Here is a 22,012-nt window from a genome sequence, read left to right on the forward strand (position 1 = left end):
ATATCGTGAAAATGGACATACTGCCCAAAGTAATTTATAGATTCAATGCTATCCCCATCAAGCTACCACTGATTTTCTTCACAGAATTGGAAAAAACTACTTTAAACTTCATATGGAACCAAAAGAGAGCCCACATAGCCAAGACAACCCTGGACAAGAAGAACAAAGCTGGAGGCATCACACTACCTGACTTCAAACTTTACTACAAGGCTGCAGTAACCAAAACAGCATGGTACTGGTACCAAAACAGATATATAGACCAATGGAACAGAACAGAGGCCTCAGAAATACCACCACACATCTACCACCATATGATCTTTGACAAACCTGACACAAACAAGCAATGGGGAAAAGATTCCCTGTTTAATAAATGTTGTTGGGAAAACTAGCTAGCCATATGCAGAAAACTGAAACTGGACCCTGTCCTTACACCTTATATGAAAATCAACTCAAGAGGATCAAAGACTTAAACGTAAGACCTAGGACCATAAAAATCCTAGAAGAAAACCTGGGCAATACCATTCAGGACACAGGCATGGGCAAAGCCTTCATGTCTAAAACACCAAAAGCAATGGCAACAAAAGCCAAAATTGACAAATGGGATCTAATTAAACTAAAGAGCTTCTGCACAGCAAAAGAAACTACCATCAGAGTGAACAGGCAACCTACAGAATGGGAGAAAAAATTTGCTATCTATCCAACTGACCAAGGGCTAATATCCAGAATCTACAAAGAACTTAAACACTTTTACAAGAAAAAAAACAACCCCATCAAAAAGTGGGCAAAGGATATGAACAGACACTTCTCAAAAGAAGACATTTATACAGCCAACAGACATATGAAAAAATGCTCATCATCACTGGTCAACAGAGAAATGGAAATCAAAACCACAATGAGATACCATCGTACACGAGTTAGAATGGCTATCATTAAAAAGTCAGGAAACAACAGATGCTGGAGAGGGTGTGGAAAAATAGGAATGCTTTTACACTGTTGGTGGGAGTGTAAATTAGTTCTACCATTGTGGAAGACAGTGTGGCGATTCCTCAAGGATCTAGAACTAGAAATACCATTTGACCCAGCAATCCCATTACTGGGTATATATCCAAAGGATTATAAATCATTCTACTGTAAAGACACATGCACACGTATGTTTATTGCAGCACTATTCACAATAGCAAAGACTGGGAACCAACCCAAATGTGCATCAATATTAGACTGGATAAAGAAAATGTGGCACATATACCATGGAATACTATGCAGCCATAAAAAAGGATGAGTTCATGTCCTTTGCAGGGACATGGATGAAGCTGGAAACCGTCATTCTCAGCAAACTATCACAAGATCAGATAACCAAACACCGCATGTTCTCACTCATAAGTGGGAGTTGAACAATGAGAACACATGGACACAGGGAGGGGAACATCACACACCAGCGCCTGTTGGGGGGTGGGGGACTAGGGGAGGGATAGCATTAGAAGAAATACCTAATGTAGCTGATGGGTTGATGGGTGCAGCAAACCACCATGGCACGTGTATACCTATGTTACAAAACTGCACATTCTGCACATGTACCCCAGAACTTAAAGTATAATTAAAAAAATAGAATAGTTGGCTGTCCATTTGGGAAGATGCAAATTCCAACCTCATAAAGGGCACAAAAACAAATTCCAGGTGGATTAAAGATTTAAACATTAAAACAAACATATAAAAGTAACAGAAAAAAATAAGAAAACATTTACATTTGGGGATGGGGATAGAAAAAGAGGCCTTGCCTAGTATGACACTAAGGTCCAACAAAAATGTCTAAATAAAAAAATAGACACCATAAAGAAAAAGAAAAATCAAATAATAAACCTCAAAAGAAACATCTGAGATATATATATGATAGTCAAAGAAAACATTGTTAATTTAAAAAACAGGCCAGGCACGGTGGCTCACGCCTGTAATCCTAGCACTTTAGGACGCCAAGGCAGGCAGATCACCTGAGGTCAGGAGTTCGAGACCAGCCTGGCAAACATGGTGAAATCCCGTCTCTACCAAAAATATAAAAATTAGCCAGGCGTGGTGGCACACACCTGTAATCCCAGCTGCTTGGGTGGCTGAGGAGGAGAATCTCTGGAACCCAGGAGATGGAGGTTGCAGTGTGCCGAGACCACGCCACTGCATTCCAGCCTGGGCAGCAAGAGGGAGACTCCATCTCAAAAAAAAAAAAAAGGAAAAGAAAAGAAAGAACAGGCTGGGCATGGTGACTCACGCCTGTAATCCCAGCACTCTGGGAGGCCAAGGCAGATGAATCTCTTGAGTCCAGGAGTTCAAGACCAGCCTGGGCCACATGGTGAAACCCAGTCTCTACAAAAAGTACAAAAATTAGCCAGGCATGGTAGCATGTGCCTGTATTCCCAGCTGCTCAGGAGACTGAGGTAGGATGACAGCTTGATTCTGAGAAGTCAAGGCTGCAGTGAGCCAAGATTGTGCCACTGCACTCCAGCCTAGGTGACCAGTGAGACCCTGCCTAAAAATAAAAAGAACAAAATTAGCAGAGCATGGCGGCACTTGTCTGTACTCCCAGCTACTCAGGAGGCGAAGGCAGGAAGATCACTTGAGACCAAGAGTTCGAGGCTGCAGTCAGCTATGATCCCACCACTGCAGTCTAGCCTGGAAAACAGAGTAAGACTCGGTCTAAAAAAAAAAAAATTTTCAGAAAAATGTATATAAAATGCACAAAAATGAAAAGACAAATATAAATTAGATTATTCCAGTGGTTCTTTTATGGGATGGTAAAAATAGACAGGCTTTTACTCTAGTATTGTTTACTTTTTTTTTTTTTTTTAGACAAGGTCTCACTCTATTGCCTAGGCTGGAGTGCAGCAGTGCGATCATGACTCACTGCAGCCTTGACTTCTCAGCCTCAAACAATTTTCCCAGTTCAGCCTCCCAAGTAGCCGGGACCACAGGTGCGCACCATCACGTCCAGCTAATTTTTCTATTTTTTGTAGAGACGGGGTTTCACCATGTTGTCCAGGCTGGTCTTGAACTCCTGGGCTAAGGTGGTTCTCCCACCTGGGCCTCCCAAACTGCTGGGATTACAGGCTTCAGCCACTGTGCCCAGCCTAAATTTTTACAGTGATCACATACGTAAATAAAAAAATTATAAAAATGTTCCATTTTGAAGAACAATAACTAAAAAAACAGTCCTTTATGAGAGAACTTCAATACTTAATAAGACTCATCTTGAATTAGTGAGTGCTTGAAAGTCTCCAGCTGACAAAAACACTTACAAACTCTCTAATGACCTAAGAAGTCAGATGACTAAAAAATTAGTTGCTCTTCCTTCTGGGAAGCTAACCTCTAAAAAGCAATGATAATTCAGGCATAGTGGCTCACGCAGGTAATCCCAGCACTTCGGGAGGCTGAGGGGGTCGGATCACTTAAGGTCAGGGGTTCGAGACCAGACTGACCAACATGATGAAACCCTGTCTCTACTAAAAATACAAAATTAGCCAGGTGTGGTGGTGCACACTTGTAATCTCAGCTATTCAGGAGGCTGAGGCAGGAGAATCACTTTAACCCAGGAGGCAGAGGTTGCAGTGAGTCGAGATCGTGCTACTGCACTCAAGCCTGGGCAACGGAGTAAGACTCTGTCTCAAAAATAAATAAAATAAAAAGCAATGATAGTAGTATTCACCAGTCAAAGTACTGATGAGTCTAAAAGCATGTTGTGAAAGAAATTAACAACAGTGAAATGTCCCATTTCACCTTCCCAGGATCCTAGCTTCTCACCACTCTTTCTGCTGCATCCTCAAGATTGTATCAAACTATCAAGGGAAAGGTGGAAATGTCTGTGATATTTTATATTACCTGCCGTGGTTTTCATTCTCAGTTATTCTCTTTGGCACAAAAATGGAGAATGAAAAAAATGGAGGAGGAGGAAGGAGAGATGGAGGAAGAAGAGAGTAAGACAGAAAAGCTTCTCATTCTAAAAAGTTTCAAAATAGATTTTGGGAACTCTCTGAAAACAGAGTATATGGGGAAAAAAAGGTTTCAGACAATCAACGTTCATGGCATCAACTGGGAAAACGCCCAGGGTGGTCAGAGTTGCCCTACCTAGACTTGCTGGAATGTCCACATGTCAGAGAAGGACAGAATGAGAAGGAAGCACTCCAACTAGCTAGAGCCCTCTCTAGGAAGTGAGGGGTGACATAGTGTGGTGATGAGAAGACTCCTAGTAAATTGGGGATCCAAGAGCTTGCTTCCCAAATGAAGTAAGGTCTAAAAGCTGCTCCCCACATGATAGCAGTGACACAGCACAACAGGAGAGTGCGACAGGAGGGCATATTGTGACACAGCCTCTGGAGCCACCCGCAGCCTCACAATGACATGTGGGAGCAGTGGGAATTTTTCTTCGCCTCCAAGAGGACCAAAAAAGTGACTGAAAGAGAAACAGAGCACCTAAAGGGGCCTTGGGGTTCCAAGTAGAGTGTGTGACTGGTGATCAGAGACAGACAGAAAACAAACATTAGCTGCAGATTCCACCTTAGAGGGACGAAGGTCACTAATTGGAAGCTCTTTCCCTCCACCAAGTTTCCCACACTCAGAGATGCCACCCCATGGGGAAAGAAGGAAAGGGAGAAATCCTGAGTTAAGTGAGGAAACCTGGCATTGACTAGAGTAAGCCTTGGCTATCAGGCATAATACAGCATACAGAAAACATACAGGAAGGAAAGAAAGCACAAGGGACAGTATGCAATTGGAGGGGAGGATTAAAGGCTTAGAATGACTGCTGTGCTGAAAGCTCACCAGGGAGAAGGGGCTCAAAAAAGATAGATTTGTGGTGAGGTTTATTCGGTTTGTTTTTACTGTAAGCAAGACCCTGGGGTAAGCAAAAGCATTACCCCAGAGTTAACAAATTTCCTCTTCCCAGGTATAAGTAATGTGACCAGTGGTTTTAATCAGTCACCCTGCCTGTAACACAGACACACTTATCAAGCTGATAAGACACACTGATTCGAGATTTCCTGTATATAGGATACATGATTCAACAAGGCATTTTTCTCAGGAGCTATAGTGCAGACCAGTTTCGCTCCTTCCTTGTCAAATCCAATTTGATTACCCTGTGTTAAAGGAAATGGAATTGACTACCTGCCTTCACCCAGACACCCAGAAGGATACTGATTGTCATTCTTTAAGGTTACACCATTGGGTTCAGGCGCAGTGACACACCTGTAATCCCAGCACTTTAGGAGACCAAGGAGAGTGGACCACTTGAGGTCAAGAGTTCAAGACCAGTTTGGCCAACATGGTGAAACCCCGTCTCTACTAAAAATACAAAAATTAGTCAGGCGTGGTGGCACACACCTGTGGTCCCAGCTACTCAGGAGGCTGAGGTGGAAGGATCGTTTCAACCCAGAAGGTGGAGGTTGCAGTGAGCCGTGATCATGCCACTGCACTCTAGACCCTGTCTCAAAAAAAAAAAAAGATTACACCATTGGGAGCAAGAAAGTAATATGTACTTATCACAAATTACTGCAATTGCATAACTACTGTATGCTAATATTTTTGCATAATTATTTCATTTAAACTTGACAATTACCCCCATTTTATGAACTAGGAAACTGACTCTCAGAAAGATTAAGTTACATAAACTCATGGAGTACATGGGCAATGCCCATATATGAATCTAAGTTTGTCTGACTTCAAAGGCAAACTCTTTCCACTCTACCACAATACCTTGGTGATGAAAATATATAAGGTCACACTTTTAAAAAATTATTGTCAAGGCACCCAAGGTCTAAGACAACAAAAGTCATGCTACCACTCCTTCCACTCTGCCCTCCTACCTACTCTCTCATACACCTTTTCTCTGCCACACTCATCCCCCAAACCCACCTGCCTTCTTTCAAGCCTTTACAGAAGCTATTCCCTCTGCCTAGACTCTCCTATCTTTCTTTCCTCCCCACTTAGAGAACGCCAACCCATCCTCTAAGTCAAGGACTTTTAAAGCTTTGCTAGCTCTCCATCCCATCTTCTGCAGCTTTGTTCATCTTTCCCTGATAGCACACGCATACCACTTGAGACTGGCGTTTCTCCGCCTGTGCCTCTGTAACCACTACTAGAATATGAACTCCTCAACTTCAAGGTCGGGGCCGACCTACTTGCATACCCAGGAATCTAAGGCATTTAGCGCACAGCCGGAGTTCAATAAATGCCTGGATTAATGAATTAATTTTCTTTAAAATCAAGGTCTACATTTCACATGCTCTAGATTGTGAATAAATCATAAGGAGGTAAACACTATGAAGTACACTGGCGCTCGACAAATGATTTTAAGGAGAAAGGCTGCCACCCAAAGCAGGTTTCTCCAGAGACCCCGCCCGTGTCCCGTCAAACGCGCCGCTAGGGCTGGAGACGGCCCCGCCTCTCTCCCTGCCAATCAGTCCCTCTTCGCGCCTGCGCACGCACCGCCCTCTCCCGAAGCCCCGCCCCGGTCACCGCCCCGAGGCTGTCCCGGACGGTTGGGTCCAGAGGAGCCTTTCCTTCACTGGCCCGCCTGCTATGACGATCATGTACAGCTGCATTGCTAATGGCCGAGCGGTCCTAGCGGAGCTGACACTGACTGGAGGTTCTTACCAGGTACCTCCGGATCCACGCCACCGCCCCCACGGGTTCCGCCCCTCGAGGGTGGTGCCCCCCGAGCCCGCCCCTAAGGACGCGGCGCTGCGAGGTGGTCCGGAACCTGCTCGGGGGACACAAGCTCCCGCCCCGCGAGAGATCCCGCCCCCACGAGAGACCCCGCCCCCGCAAGAGGCCCCGCCCCCGCGAGAGGCTGGCGTCCCGGCGGCTGCCGCACGTGCGCCACCTAGGGGACAGAGCTGGCGCTGCACGTGCTGGGTTTGGTGGCTATTTGAACCCAGGTCCAACTTTGATAGACCCTAAAATTTGTCTTTCTCCTGCGGAGAAATGACCTGCAGTTCAGCACACATTTATTGAACATATCTCTGTCACAAAATCCCAGAGTAAAGAATATCACGGATTCAGCAGTGAACATGAGCCTGGCATTGCCCCTTTATATCCAAGGGCTATAGACAATTGTCCTAGAGTGTAAAAAGTATTTCAACGGAGGTAGGTTGCGATTGTTCTTGTAGTTTTCAAGATGGGCTCTTGGCTTATAAACTTGTAAGAATTAGTCCTAGCCTGGCACAGGAAAGGGGAATGAGAACTCCATGCAGAGAAAAGAGCATGGTGTGTCTGCAGATTCCCAGGAACCTCAGTGTGGCTGGAACACAAGGATGAGGGTGTAGAGGCTGGAGATAAGGCCAGGAAAGTGGGCAGAAGACAGCAAATGAAGGGTCCTATATACAGCTGTTTTCTCATCCCAGAGAACCTGGGGAGCAACTAAGATTTATAAACAGAGGAATAGCAAGATCTGATTTACCTTCTGATAAGTTTGGTCTGGTTACAATGTGGAAGGTAGATTGGGAGGGTGATATCCATTTAGAATGGATGGGCCTGCACTAAGACAATGATGGTGCAAATGGAAAGAAGGGGCAGATCCTAAGGAGACTTTCTTTTTTTTTTGAGACGGAGTTTCACTCTTGTTGCTCAGGCTGGAGTGCAATGGCGCAATCTCGGCTCACTGCAACCTCTGCCTCCCGGGTTCAAGCAATTCTCCTGTCTCAGCCTCCCAAGTAGCTGGGATTACAGGCATGCGCCACCACACCCAGCTAATTTTGTATTTTCAGTAGAGACGGGGTTTCTCCATGTTGGTCAGCCTGGTCTCGAACTCCTGACCTCAGATGATCTGCCTGCCTCGGCCTCCCAAAGTGCTAGGATTACAGGCACAAGCCACCGAGCCTGGCCCCTAAGGAGACTCTCTAAACTTCATTCTCAGGAGTTGATAACTGGTTGAATATGTCAGATGCTGGACAAGGTAATGCATAGGATAAGCCTCAGAATTTTTTCGTAGGTGGCATTGAACTACAAAGAGAACATAGAAAGAGGAGAAAAATGGTGGGAGGGAATGTAGGGGAGAAGAATAGAGTTTGGGACATGCTGAATTTTGTTACCTGTTGAAAATGGCCAAATCTATATGTGTATTTATTTTTCCACCTATTTCCAAAGGGTTTTAAGTCAGAAAAATGTCTAGTAGGTAATGAATATATTGCTCTAGCATTCAGAGAGTCAAGACTGACCGTTAAAAGGAGTAGAAATGGGTAAGACTGCCCGGGAAATGTATAGAAAGTGAGAAAAGAGGAGGACCAAAAGGCAGAACATGGTTTAAGAAGAAAGTAGAGAGATGGGTCACCAAATGTGAGCTGTGGTGTCCTACAAGCCAAAAGAAGAAATTTACAAGAATTTCTCATATCCCCAGTAAGTTGAGCATGTCCCCAATAAGTTCATGTCTAGTCCAGTCAACACCTTGAGCAAGAACTAAAAGGTGTTCATTAGACTCTACAATGGGAAGATGATTGGTGATTGTACTGTAAGCAGTTTGGGAGAAGAGCAGAGGCAGAAGCCCAGTACCTTTACGCCAAATGAGTGAGAGATAGGAAAGTAGGGAGAATGAGGTTAGACTGTTCCTTCAAAAATTTAGAAAGGGAATGAGATGGAGTGAAAGCTAGATGCAGCATGATCCAGGAAGGCACCTCATTTTTTTAATATAAGGAAAACTTTCACATGTAAGTTAAGCTAATGGAAAGAAAAGGTCAAAGATATAAGAGACGAGGGGGCTATTGGTGGAGTAAGGCTTTAAGGGGCACAAAAGGATGGAATCCAATTTGGCAGTAGAGATGTGAGCCTCAGATTAGGGGAATACCCTCTTTCTCTTCAGGAAAGGAGAATGTGAATATAGACATATGATTCAGTCTCCTCCTGGGGCTCTCTTCTTTACCAATCCCTTACATGCTGTGTTCCTTAAGGTTCTCGTTGTAGTCCTCTTTTAACTTGACACACTCATTCACATCCATAGACACCTTTCCTCTGATTACAGCCAAACCCACTTCCAAAGTTATCTCTCTCCTGAGTTAGATTGCCTAATAGAACATATCATGTCCAGAACTAAATTAATTGTCTTTCCTAACAGATTCCTCCTTGCATACAGTCATGCACTGCCTAATGATGATTTGGTCAATGACAGGCCATATATATGACAGTGGTCCCATAAGATTATAATACCACATTTTTACTGTACCTGTTCTATGTTTATGACATTTACATACACAAATACCATTGTGCTCGAATTGCCTACAATATTCAGTGCAGTAACATACTGTCCAGGTTTGTAGCCTAGGAGCAATAGGCAATACCATAATAGCTTAGGTGTGTAGTAGGCTAGACCATCTAGGTTTGTGTAAGTGCACTCTATGATGTTTGCACACAAGCAAATTGGCTAATGACTCATTTCTCAGAACGTATCTCTGTCGTTAAGTGACACGTGACTATTTCTGATCTTGCTTAGTAGCTCTACTGAGCTATTCAAGCTGGAAACTGGGAGTCACCTCCAGTTGTTTCCCTTCTTCCGCTTCACATCTGTTCATTCATCACCCAGTTCTATCAGTTTTGTATCTCCTGAGTATATCTCAAATCTATCTCCTTGTTTCTGAACCATGTCTTCATCCCAGCCCCTCTCACCAGGCTTATTGAAAACACCTCCTAACTAATCTCCCAGACTTCAGCCTTGTCCTACTAAAAAACAATTTCCACACTGCTGCCCCAATGATAGTTCCTAAAAGCAAATAGGATCATATCACTCCCCTGCTTAAAATAATTTGGTGGCTACTGATTACATTACCCACACTCCTTAGCCTGGCACTCAAGGCCCTCTCTGGTTATCTCCTTCCCTTTCCCACATACCCATGTGCTCCAACTATCCTGAATTTCGTGCTGTTCTGCTATCTCACCATGGTCTCCCTCTGCATCTCCTTTTCCCTCTACCTGGAAATTACTTTTCTCCATTTTGGGGCAGTATAACATTTATGCTTTGAGACTCTTCTCAGTTTTTCTCCTTGAAGCCTCCACTACACACAGGTTAACTTACATTCCTCTACCAAACTACTTACCAGGCTGAATTAGAATCTTCTTTCACTTGTCTGTCTCTGCCATCGAACTCAAGGACAGGGACAGTCTTCATCTCTGTCTTTCCGGTGTCCAATGCCTAATACATAATAGGCAGTAAGTTCTCAATAAATGTTTTTTTAATTTGTTAATTAAGAAAGGAGAGAGAAAACTAAAATCTTTCATAAGCCCCAAGTGACCTCTCTTGGTGAAGCATACAGGAAGGGAAGAAAGTAGAGGTATAAGGCAGTATATAATTGGAGGAGAGCACTGAAGGCCTGGAATGACTGCTGTGCAGAAAGCTGACTAGGGAGGAGAAAAAGAATAGCAAGGAGCTTCAAGAAATAGTTCAGGTTAAAAGGAAAGAAAAAAGTATCACATCTTCCCTCAATGCCAAGGATATAAAAAATTTTATATCCATTTGAAAAACATGAGTACCAAAGTTTAATCATGAGATCCAACTAACTGCTATTATAGAATCCTGGCACTGAACGGGATCCTAGAGATCATCTGTCCAATCTCTTCATTCTTCCCACGAGTAAACAGACCCAGACAAGTCACTAAGTCATGCAACACATTAATTCTAGAAACACAACTAGAACCCACTTTGCCATTCATTTTACTGCCTCATATTGCCATTTGTTTTGTTTCAAATTTTGCTAAGATACCAATGTTTACACTATACACTAAAAGAGACACTTGGGGGAAAATGTGGGAATATGTTCCATTACTAATAATTGAGAGTTTGTGTGTCCCTTTAATTTTTCAAGTTTTTTAGGAAATCCTTTCCTAGAAAATATCACTGGGACTTTTCAGGCAATACCAAGAGTTTCAGGTTTTACTTTCTACCATTAATAATAACTTTTACCCTTCCATAAATGTTTTTATTTCTTGTTATTTTGTGAAAATGGAAAAATTAATTGGGATTATAGCCATTCAAGACTTCTTGGGTAACTTTCAGATTTCTTTAACACTTCTAAAGTAAATTAATGGGACTGCATATAACTGATTACATTTAAGTTATTCTGGATAGTCATAGTATCTTACAAATTTTTCCCCAAAGAATGAGCCTTATAAGAAACAGGTATAAGAGTTCTTAGCAATTGTTTGTTTTTTAGAAAGAGATCAGTGAACAATAGTGAATAAAAATTTTTATCTTAAAAAATAAGGTAAGACTGCTTAGGGTATTCAGAAAATAAAAGATGAATATCCTTAACTATTAACATTTTATTTATAGTTTCAGTAGCTAGTGGTTACTGAAAAGATGTTTGATTAGATAGTGCTTTCCAGCCTTGAAACCATGTATAAGATATGATTGTAAAAATAAGATTATTGATCCAGATGGCCTGAAGCAACTGCAGTATCACAAAAGAAGTAAAAATGGGGCCGGGTGCAGTGGCTCACGCCTGTAATCCTAGCACTTTGGGAGGCCGAGGCGGTCGGATCACGAGGTCAGGAGATCGAGACCATCCTGGCTGACACGATGAAACCCCGTCTCTACTAAAAATGCAAAAAAATTAGCCGGGCGTGGCGGCGGGCGCCTATAGTCCCAGCTACTCAGGAGGCTGAGGCAGGAGACTGGCGTGAACCCAGGAGGCAGGGCTTGCAGTGAGCAGAGATCGCGCCACTGCACTCCAGCCTGGGCGACAGAGCGAGACTCCGTTTCAAAAAAAACAAAAAATAAAAATAAGATTATGTAGTTCAACCTATATTTGCACACATATATGTGTATATTATATGTATATTTATGTGGTTTTAATATTTTTCTTCAGATTCATATGAATATTTCAGGATCACTTGACTGTTACCATGCATTATGAATCCCCACTCATTAGTTCTCCTAGTGAACTGGTTTTCCTTAATAAACTAATTAGAACATTGATAAATTTAGGAGGAGAATAATGAAATACACTACAATCTTCTGCAAAGTAAATGCTGACAATTTATTTTTAGGAAGCAGTGGCAAAAGTGCTTAGATTAGTGCTTCTTAGAGCTGAACCAAAGACCATAATTCAAATGGGAAGGTAAAGTAAGTTCTAATACAGATCTGTTTTTGAACAATTACCAGAAAATAATTCCGATGATGACGTAAACACTAGTTACACATACTCTTGATCGAACCCTCAGAAAGGAGAACTTCTATCTGTAAAAGTATAAAATCAGGAATGGGGATGATAAACACCAAATTAAGATAGTGTTTACCTTTTCAAATGGAAAACAGAAAATAAATTTAAGGAAGGGTATAAAGAGGATATATTAACCTTATCTAACTAGTCTAGCACTTTTAGACAGGTCTAAAAGTGTTCTTGTTATCTTATTCTCCATTCTTTTGGGTATACCCAAAACATTTCATTAATAAAAAAGGAAACATCTACCTTAAAATATCTTTAATAAGAATGAGAACAGTGGCTGGCTGGGCATGGTGGCTCACGCCTGTAACCCCAAAATTTTGGGAGGCTGAGACGGGTGGATCCCTTGAGCCCAGGAGTTTGAGACAAACCTAGGCACTATGGTGAAACCCCATCTCTACAAAAAATTAGCTGTGTGTGGTGGCAAGCACCTGTATAGTCCCAGCTACTTGGGAAACTGAGGTGGGAGGATCAACTGAGCCAGGGAGGTCAAGGCTGCAGTGAGCTGTGATCGCACCACTGCGCCCCAGCCTGGGCAATTGAGCAAGACCTTGTCTCAAAACAAAACAAAACAACAACAAAAAACAGTGGACATCACTCTTAAGCTTCACTTAGGACATTACATGGTATGGCCTAAATCAGTCTTGAAAACAGTTGCTAGTAAAGGAGGAAGTGAGGGAAAAGAAAGATTCTATTATTTTTAAGGCTCTTCATTTTTTTTAGAGTAGGTTTGTTTTAACCTTTCTATCGTAAGTAAAACAGAGAAACAAAGATATCACATCTAATGAATGTATAGCTTTGTGAAGTGTAGCAAGGGACTCTCTCCAGCAGCAATTATCATCTAGGCCAAAGAAAACGGAATACTGCCAGCCACCCCCACCATATGTCCTGTCCCATTCACCGCTTCCTCCATCTCTGCAAAATCAAACACCATCCCTGCAAAATCAAACACCATCCCAGCAAAATCAGACACCATCCCAGCTTCCATAGTAGTCATTTCCCTGTTTCTTCATTGCATCAGCACCCAAATACACATCCTCAGATGGGAGCCCAATCCTGCCCATTTTTTAATTTGATGTCTTTTAAATCTCTTTAAATACACTTATTCCCCCTCCATTTCTTTTTTTCTTTTTCCCTTGCAGTTTATTGTTGAAGAACTGACAGAGTTTCCCACAGTGTAGGTTTGCTGATTGCATACTCAAAATTCAGGTCACCATTTACCAAGTAGCCAACCCAGAGGCTCAACCCCTTCAGCAGGACTATAGTACGAGTGTTTTTGCATCAGATGGTACATGGTATCTGATTATATCTCCTTTTGAGATGTTAGCAGCTATCGATACTCATTGCTAGGCCCAAGAGCCACTAATTTATAAGGGATTGCAAAATGGTAATAATCTAGTTTTGTATTCACAGACAAAATTAGCTGAAATGATTTTAAAAAGAGATACTTTCCTTATTTGCTGTTTGCTTACCTGTGTTCTACATTCTAATTTGAATCTTTTGAAGACCTTTTTTTCTGAACTCCAGACTCGTATACCCACTTGTTCCACTCTGCTTGAATGTCTAATTAAAGTATCTCAAACATATCCAAAGCTAAGCCTCTTCCAGAAGTCTTCCACATATCACTTTTCTAGTTCCTCAGGCCTAAAACCTATAGTATTCTTGACTCTTGTCTCTTTTATATTGAAATCCAATCCATGGGCAAATCCCATTGCCTGTCCTCTCCAAATAGTAACCAAGCCACCATCATCTCCTGCCTTGATCACTCAATACAAAGCCATCTTTCTCATTTTGTTTCTGATTTCTAATGGTTACTTTTTTCTTTGTTTTTTAAACGGAGTCTCGCTCTGTCGCCAGGCTGGAGTGCAGTGGTGCAATCTTGGCTCACTGCAACCTCTACCTCCCAAGTTCAAGCGATTCTCCTGCCTCAGCCTCCCAAGTAGCTGGGATTACAGGTGCGCGCCACCATGCCCAGCAATTTTTGTATTTTTAGTAGACATGGTTTCACCATGTTTGCCAGGATGGTCTCGATCTCTTGACCCTGTGATCCGCCCACCTCGGCCTCCCAAAGTGCTGGGATTACAGGCGTGACCCACCGTGCCCGGACCTAATGGTTACTTTTTTTAAAAGTTTCATTAATAACATTTTTATTATGCAAAATATATATGCAGTACCAAAGTCAAATCTACAAAACAGTTCCTTCGAGAAGTCTAATTTGCATTCTGTTCCTCTCCTTACTACTCTTTCCCCCTATGTAGGTAACCATTTTGAACAAGTTTTTGGTTTATCTTTTTTTCTTTTCTTTTTTCCTATAAGAAATACATTCTATAAGAATACATTAGCCGGGTATAATGGTGCACACCTGCAGTCCCAGCTACTTGGGAGGCTGAGGTGGGAGGATGGCTTAAGCTCGGGAGGTGGAGGTTGCAGTGAGCAGAGATTACACCATTGCACTCCAGCCTGGGTGAGAGAGCCAGACCCTGTCTCAAAAAAAAGAACACAATATAGAGTACATACAGTAGCCCTCCCTTATCTGAGGGGGATACATTCCAAGACCCCCAGTCTTGTGGATACCTGAAACCACAGATGGTACCAAACCCTATAAAATATACTGTGTGTTTTTATACATATATGATAACATTTAATGTATAAATTAGGTACAATAAGAAATTAACAACAATAATAATAAAATAGAGCAATTATAACAATATTCTGTAACAAAAGTTATGTAAATGTCATCTTTCTTTCTCTCTCTCACAAAAACATCTCATTGCATTTTACTCACCTATTTTTGGACTGCGGTTGACCATGAGTAACAGAAACCACAGAAAGTGAAGCCACAAATAAGAGACTACTGTATGTACATTTGAACTTCCCTTATGGTAGCGTATGATGTGATAGATAAATGATAGCACATCATGCACACTTTTCTCCACCTGGCTTTTGTCAATTAATGATATCTCCTGAACATCAGATATTCAAGTTGTTTTTAAGATTATAGATGCTTTCTGAATATTACTCATAGTATTAATAACATACTAAGCATAAATTTAAAATATCTCTTTTTCACATGCAGTATCAATTTACTTCAAATTACATGTGTAACTTTCAGATAGATGGTACAATTAGCAACTCTTTTTCAGCGGACTCCACCAAATTTTTAAATAAAAATGTTTTCTAGGTGGAGATTATGTGTATAAATCAATATAATCATTAAAAACATTTGTAGCATATTGTATTCATGATATGATGTGAAGGATTTACACTGAAAGGGTTCATATGTTAAATTTTCTGCCTCTGAAATTATCTTTTCTTCCTGTTTCTGAGTTTCCTCATTCTCATATATATTCAATTTAGCATTTGACCATGTCTGTTGCCTGTTAACCATTTAGAGATAGTATTCACAAAGACTAAAGTCTAGGCACCAAGCAACTATTTTTGTTGCATATTCCTGCATTTTCTGGATTGTTGGGCAGTAAAGGATGGAGGCACTTTCCAAGGGGATTCTAGCCCCTACTGTGGGACTCTGAGAAGGCAGAAAGGTCTAGATGGTTGAGTGGTCATGCTAAGGTTCATTTTAACATACTGTGGTTCACTTTAACATTCATTCCTCCCTCCCCAACTCATCCTGAATATTTGGTATTTGCAGTTTACAAATTTTTAATTCTAATGTATAGAAAACCAAGATGTACCAAAATTAAATATGTCTACCTAAAATATAGACATACTAAAATTCAATGAACATAGTATTTTCTGTGTTTGTTTTTGTTTTACAGGCAGAGTCCCACACTTTCGCCTGGGCAGGAGTGCAATGGCGCAATCTTGGCTCACTGCAACCTCCACTTCCTGGGTTCAAGCGATTCTTCTGCCTCAGCCTCCCGAGTAGCTGGGATTGCAGGTGCCCGCCACCACACCTGGCTAATTTTTTGTATTTTTAGTAGAAACAGGGTTTCACTATGTTGGCCAGGCTGGTCTTGAACTCCTGACCTCGTGATGCACCCGCCTCAGCCTCCCAAAGTTCTGGGATTACAGGTATGAGCCACCGCATCCAGCCAAACATAGCATTTTCTATTTAGTCAGAATCTTGATTCAGTCTTAGAATGTGAGTGACTTCAAATATAGATATATATATAGGCCAGGCGTGGTGGCTCACACCTGTAATCCCAGCACTTTGGGAGGCCATGGGAGGCAGATCACTTGAGGCCAGGAGTTCGAGACCAGCCTGGCCAACATAGTGAAACCCTGTCTCTACTAAAAATACAAAAATTATCTAGGCATGGTGGCACATGCCTGTAATCCCAGCTACTCGGGAGGCTGAGGTAGGAGAATTGCTTGAACCCGGGAGGCAGGGGTTGCAGTGAGCCAAGATTGCACCACTGCACTCCAGCCTGGGCGACAGAGTGAGACTCCATCTCAAAAAATAAAATATATATATATACCAAATTATTAGTTTTCTCTTTGATTTATTTTTATTGATGCAATTTTAAATACATATTTAAATTCTACAGATTTCACTTAACATAATTTACTTCAATTTTTCAAATATATGAGAGGTCTTCTAATTATTATGCTTCTTTGTTTTTGGTTTTTTTATTTTTGTTTGAGACAGGGTCTCACTCTGTCGCCCAGGCTGGAGTACAGTGGCGTGATCATGGCTCGCTGCAGTCTCAACCTCCTGGCTCAATCAATCCTCCCACCTTAGCCCCCCAGGTAGCTGGAAATACAGTGTGGCGTGCACCACCATGCCCAGCTAATTTTTTTGTATTTTTTGTAGAAATGGGGTCTTGCTATGTTGCCCAGGCCAATCTTCAACTCCTGGGCTCAAGCAATCCTCCCACCTCAGCCTCCCAAAGTGCTGAGATTATAGGCATGAGCCACTGCACCCATCCAATTATTCTGATTATAAAAAGTTATCTATATAGTTCTTAATACCACTAATGAAAGCTTGAAAAATGAGGTTAAATTCTCTGTGTGGGTACTTCTTTAATATTATCATGTTTTCTTTTCAAAGCTATGTTTGCCATACTGTCTTTATTGATGGAATCACTTATGTATGTGCTACAGACAATGCTTTGGATTCTGTGACACCATCTGCATTTCTTAAAAACGTAAGTAATTTTATTGTACTGTAAGGACTTTTTGAGTTACTGAAATTGTGAGGTCTCTGCTTTATAGTTTATTAGTAGTAGTGTGCTAACCAAAAGCAGCTCACTCACCTGCTATATGTAAAGCAGAGCCATTCATGACCTTCAGAGATTTATTACCTGCATCACTCATCTGGCTCGTGTTTCCATACTTCGCCTGGCCCTAAAGTAAGGCCTGCAAAGATCATCCACTCAGATTTATTAGAACCTCTCCTTATATTTATTTTGTTTTAAAATTAAGAAAGAAATTAAGCTACTCTAGTGTTTAATATACTTTTTCAATGGCACATGTACTTAATTTACAAAGTATGTATGTGAGGAGGTAAGTGATCAAAAATTTTTTAGATCGGTAGTCTAAAGACACTTGTGTTAAAGTATATATATCAATTAGAAGAGTTAATCAAAAAATGTTTTTTAAATCAAGACATACCATCTCTAGGGAAAGTTTTAACTGACAATAGCCAGCATGTCTAAACTATGATAAACAGAGTACTTTTGTGTATGTATTTATGTAGATACATAAGATTTTTATAAATATCTTAAAAGGTGATTAACCTTCTCACTAGATATCACCTGCTGCTCATAGCATCCTGAGTGTGATCTCTGAGCAGAAGGAGAGTTCATGAAACGCAGTCTTTGAGACAGACTAGAGCCAAACCGTTATTCTGGTAATTTTATGGTTCAAATAGTGTGACTGTTTCTTATTTTAAAAAGTAAATTATACTAATCTTCAAATTACTTATAAATATATAATTCAGGATAAATATTTTAGTAAAAAATATTAATGCGAAAATTAGTCAGCTATACTATAGTTACCAATGTAGTAGTTATTTGCCAGTCACATTCATGAATCATGCATATATTTTCTGTTTAATATATCTGCTTGCTTTAACCCAATTCAAACTAATATAGAGTTAAAGGCTATAAGGCCTAAATATTAAAATTAACTCCACAATTATGCCTAGAAAATTGCCAGAGTCCAGATGTTAAACACTGTAAGTCATTTTAGCTTAATGTACTGTAATTTTTTTTCTTTTCTATGTATTATGACAAAACATCCCAACTCTGTAACCTTTCCAAAACTAGGTAACACAACATTACTAACCATGTCATTTTTACCACTGCTTCTGAGAAATTCATTAAGTACTTCTATTAAGACATTTATTTAGCATTGTTTCATTATTGTTGAATGGATTTTGAGGGTATGGGTGAGAGAGGAAAATGAAAGCACTATTTTAAAAATACCATAAAATTCCATCTTTCCTTGTCTGCCAGAGGTAAACATCTGTTCTTCCCCTCAAGTCCTCAGATATATCAAGGAATAGCACCTGCAATCATACTGTATGAGGTTCTAATCTGTACAACAGCAGCGTGTAAGACTGGGACAAACACGGTGTTTATGAATATGCCATCTTTAAATGGAAAGGATGCCCTGCCACCAAAAAGCCAAAAATGATGTGTTTTCTTTTATTTTTCAGGATTCTGCTAGACTTTGCTTCAAATGAATGTTTGTTCTATAATTCTCCAGTTAAAATGATCTATATAGGTTAAATAGTTCCATTAATTTCTCCAGATTAGTGATACTTTTACAAGAAATCCTTTGATGTCACAAGAACATTTTTCTCCTTCAAATGCATTTGCTGCAGATTTTCAACAAGTGTTAGGAAAGTAAATGGTATGTAACCTCAAACTGTATTCCTAAGTATTACCAGTTTTTATTTTATTATTATATTTTAAGTTCTAGGGTACATGTGCACAACGTGCAGGTTAGTTACATATGTATACATGTGCCATGTTGGTGTGCTGCACCGATTAACTCATCATTTACATTAGGTATATCTCCTAATGCTATCCCTCCCCCCTCCCCCCACCCCACAACAGGCCCCTGTGTGTGATGTCCCCCTTCCTGTGTCCAAGTGTTCTCATTGTTCAGTTCCCACCTATGAGTGAGAACATGCGATGTTTGGTTTTTTGTCCTTGCGATAGTTTGCTGAGAATGATGGTTTCCAGCTTCATCCATGTCCCTGCAAAGGACATGAACTCATCATTTTTATGGCTGCATAGTATTCCATGGTGTATATGTGCCACATTTTCTTAATCTAGTCTCATTGTTGGACATTTGGGTTGGTTCCAGATCTTTGCTATTGTGAATAGTGCCGCAATAAACATACATGTGCATGTGTCTTTATAGCAGCATGATTTATAATCCTTTGGGTATATACCCAGTAATGGGATGGTTGGGTCAAATGGTATTTCTAGTTCTAGATCCCTGAGGAATCGCCACACTTTCTTCCACAATGGTTGAACCACTTTACAGTCCCACCAACAGTGTAAAAGTGTTCTTATTTCTCCACATCCTCTCCAGCACCTGTTGTTTCCTGGCTTTTTAATGATCGCCATTCTAACTGGTGTGAGATGGTATCTCATTTGGTTTTGATTTGCATTTCTCTGATGGCCAGTGATGATGAGCATTTTTTCATCTGTCTGTTGGCTGCATAGATGTCTTCTTTTGAGATGTGTCTGTTCATATCCTTTGCCCACTTGTTGATGGGGTTGTTTGTTTTTTTCTTGTAAACTTGTTTGAGTTCATTGTAGATTCTGGATATTAGCCCTTTGTCAGATGAGTAGATAGCAAAAATTTTCTCCCATTCTGTAGGATGCCTGTTCACTCTGATGGTAGTTTCTTTTGCTGTGCAGAAGCTCTTTAGTTTAATTAGATCCCATTTGTCAATTTTGGCCTTTGTTGTCATTGCTTTTGGTGTTCTAGACATGAAGTCCTTGCCCATGCCTATGTCCTGAATGGTATTGCCTAGGTTTTCTTCTAGGGTTTTTGTGGTTTTAGGTCTAACATTTAAGTCTTTAATCCATCTTGAACTAATTTTTGTATAAGGTGTAAGGAAGGGATCCAGTTTCAGCTTTCTACATATGGCTAGCCAGTTCTCCCAGCACCGTTTGTTAAATAGGGAATACTTTCCTCATTTCTTGTTTTTGTCAGGTTTGTCAAAGATCAGATAGTTGTAGATGTCTGGTATTATTTCTGAGGGCTCTGTTCTATTCCATTGGTCTATATCTCTGTTTTGGTACCGGTACCATGCTGTTTTGGTTACTGTAGCCTTGTAGTATAGTTGGAAGTCAGGTAGCGTGATGCCTCCAGCTTTGTTCTTTTGGCTTAGGATTGACTTGGCAATGCGGGCTCTTTTTTGCTTCCATATGAACTTTAAAGTAGTTTTTTCCAATTCTGTGAAGAAAGTCATTGGTAGCTTGATGGGGATGGCATTGAATCTATAAATTACCTTGGGCAGTATAGCCATTTTCACGACATTGATTCTTCCTACCCATGAGCATGGACTGTTCTTCCATTTGTTTGTATCCTCTTTTATTTCATTGAACAGTGGTTTGTAGTTCTCCTTGAAGAGGTCCTTCACATCCCTTGTAAGTTGGATTCCTAGGTATTTTATTCTCTTTGAAGCAATTGGGAATGGGAGTTCACTCATGATTTGGCTCTCTGTTTCTCTGTTATTGATGTATAAAAATGGTTGTGACTTTTGCACATTGATTTTTTTATCCTGAGTCTTTGCTGAAGTTGCTTATCAGCTTAAGGAGATTTGGGGATGAGACGATGGGGTTTTCTAGATATACAATCATGTCATCTGCAAACAGGGGCAATTTGACTTCCTCTTTTCCTAATTGAATACCCTTTATTTCTTTCTCCTGCCTGATTGCCCTGGCCAGAACTTCCAACACTATGTTGAATAGGAGTGGTGAGAGAGGGCATCCCTGTTTTGTGCCAGTTTTCAAAGGGAATGCTTCCAGTTTTTGCCCATTCAGTAAGATATTGGCTGTGGGTTTGTCATAGATAGCTCTTATTATTTTGAGATACATCCCATCAATACCTAATTTATTGAGAGTTTTTAGCATGAAGGGCTGTTGAATTTTGTCAAAGGCCTTTTCTGCATCTATTGAGAAAATCATGTGGCTTTTGTCTCTGGTTCTGTTTATATGCTGGATTACGTTTATTGATTTGTGTGTGTTGAACCAGCCTTGCATCCCAGGGATGAAGCCCACTTGATCATGGTGGATAAGCTTTTTGATGTGTTTCTGGATTCGGTTTGCCAGTATTTTATTGAGGATTTTTGCATCGATGTTCATCAGGGACATTGGTCTAAAATTCTCTTTTTTTGTTGTGTCTCTGCCAGGCTTTGGTATCAGGATGATGCTGGCCTCATAAAATGCGTTAGGGAGGATTCCCTCTTTTTCTATTGATTGGAATAGTTTCAGAGGAATGATATCAACTCCTCCTTGTACCTCTGGTAGAATTTGGCTGTTAATCCGTCTGGTCCTGAACGTTTTTTGTTTGGTAAGCTATTAATTATTGCCTCAATTTCAGAGCCTGTTATTGCTCTATTCAGAGATTCAACTTCTTCCTGGTTTAGTCTTGGGAGAGTGTATGTGTCAAGGAATTTATCCATTTCTTCTAGTTTTCTAGTTTATTTGCATAGAGGTGTTTATAGTATTATCTGATGGTAGTTTGTATTTCTGTGGGATCGGTGGTGATACCCCCTTTATCATTTTTTATTTCATCTATTTGATTCTTCTCTCTTTTCTTCTTTATTAGTCTTGCTAGCAGTCTATCAATTTTGTTGATCCTTTCAAAAAACCAGCTCCTGGATTCGTTGATTTTTTGAA

The 22,012-nt window shown here is 40.7% G+C and overlaps 1 long non-coding RNA gene and 1 pseudogene across 4 annotated transcripts in view, besides 3 other annotated features; one reads left to right on the forward strand and one right to left on the reverse strand.

Annotated features, from left to right (window-relative positions):
* LOC105377308 (uncharacterized) overlaps nt 1-6,784 on the reverse strand; it is a 42,328-nt gene extending 35,544 nt beyond the window's left edge. Inside the window, exon 1 of one of the 2 annotated variants that reach the window (XR_001741754.2) lies at nt 6,631-6,784. This is a non-coding gene — a long non-coding RNA (uncharacterized LOC105377308). The remainder of the gene's footprint in view (nt 1-6,630) is intronic. The other variant, XR_938936.3, reaches the window with a different exon arrangement.
* Nucleotides 6,326-6,485: a silencer, noted in NCBI's record as "silent region_15526". NCBI's record gives its function as "represses an Ori minimal core promoter by ATAC-STARR-seq in GM12878 lymphoblastoid cells {active_cell/tissue: GM12878}" and the evidence as "EXISTENCE:reporter gene assay evidence [ECO:0000049][PMID:35858748]".
* On the forward strand, nt 6,474-19,013 carry VAMP9P (vesicle associated membrane protein 9, pseudogene; annotated as a pseudogene). Of its 2 annotated transcripts, XR_938935.3 has the most exons (4): nt 6,474-6,633; nt 7,016-7,122; nt 17,194-17,290; nt 18,805-19,013. The product of XR_938935.3 is annotated as a vesicle associated membrane protein 9, pseudogene, transcript variant X1 (transcript). The 2 variants fall into 2 exon arrangements; XR_938934.3 differs by lacking the exon at nt 7,016-7,122 and having other exon boundaries at nt 18,805-18,893.
* Nucleotides 6,526-6,915: a silencer, noted in NCBI's record as "silent region_15527". NCBI's record gives its function as "represses an Ori minimal core promoter by ATAC-STARR-seq in GM12878 lymphoblastoid cells {active_cell/tissue: GM12878}" and the evidence as "EXISTENCE:reporter gene assay evidence [ECO:0000049][PMID:35858748]".
* Nucleotides 14,916-15,116: a silencer, noted in NCBI's record as "peak5068 fragment used in MPRA reporter construct". NCBI's record gives its function as "represses an SCP1 promoter by STARR-seq MPRAs in K562 erythroleukemia cells {active_cell/tissue: K562}" and the evidence as "EXISTENCE:reporter gene assay evidence [ECO:0000049][PMID:32103011]".
* Nucleotides 19,014-22,012: the final 2,999 nt, after the last annotated feature.

This window comes from Homo sapiens, chromosome 4, assembly GCF_000001405.40.
Source record: "Homo sapiens chromosome 4, GRCh38.p14 Primary Assembly".
Taxonomy (NCBI): Eukaryota; Metazoa; Chordata; class Mammalia; order Primates; family Hominidae; genus Homo; species Homo sapiens.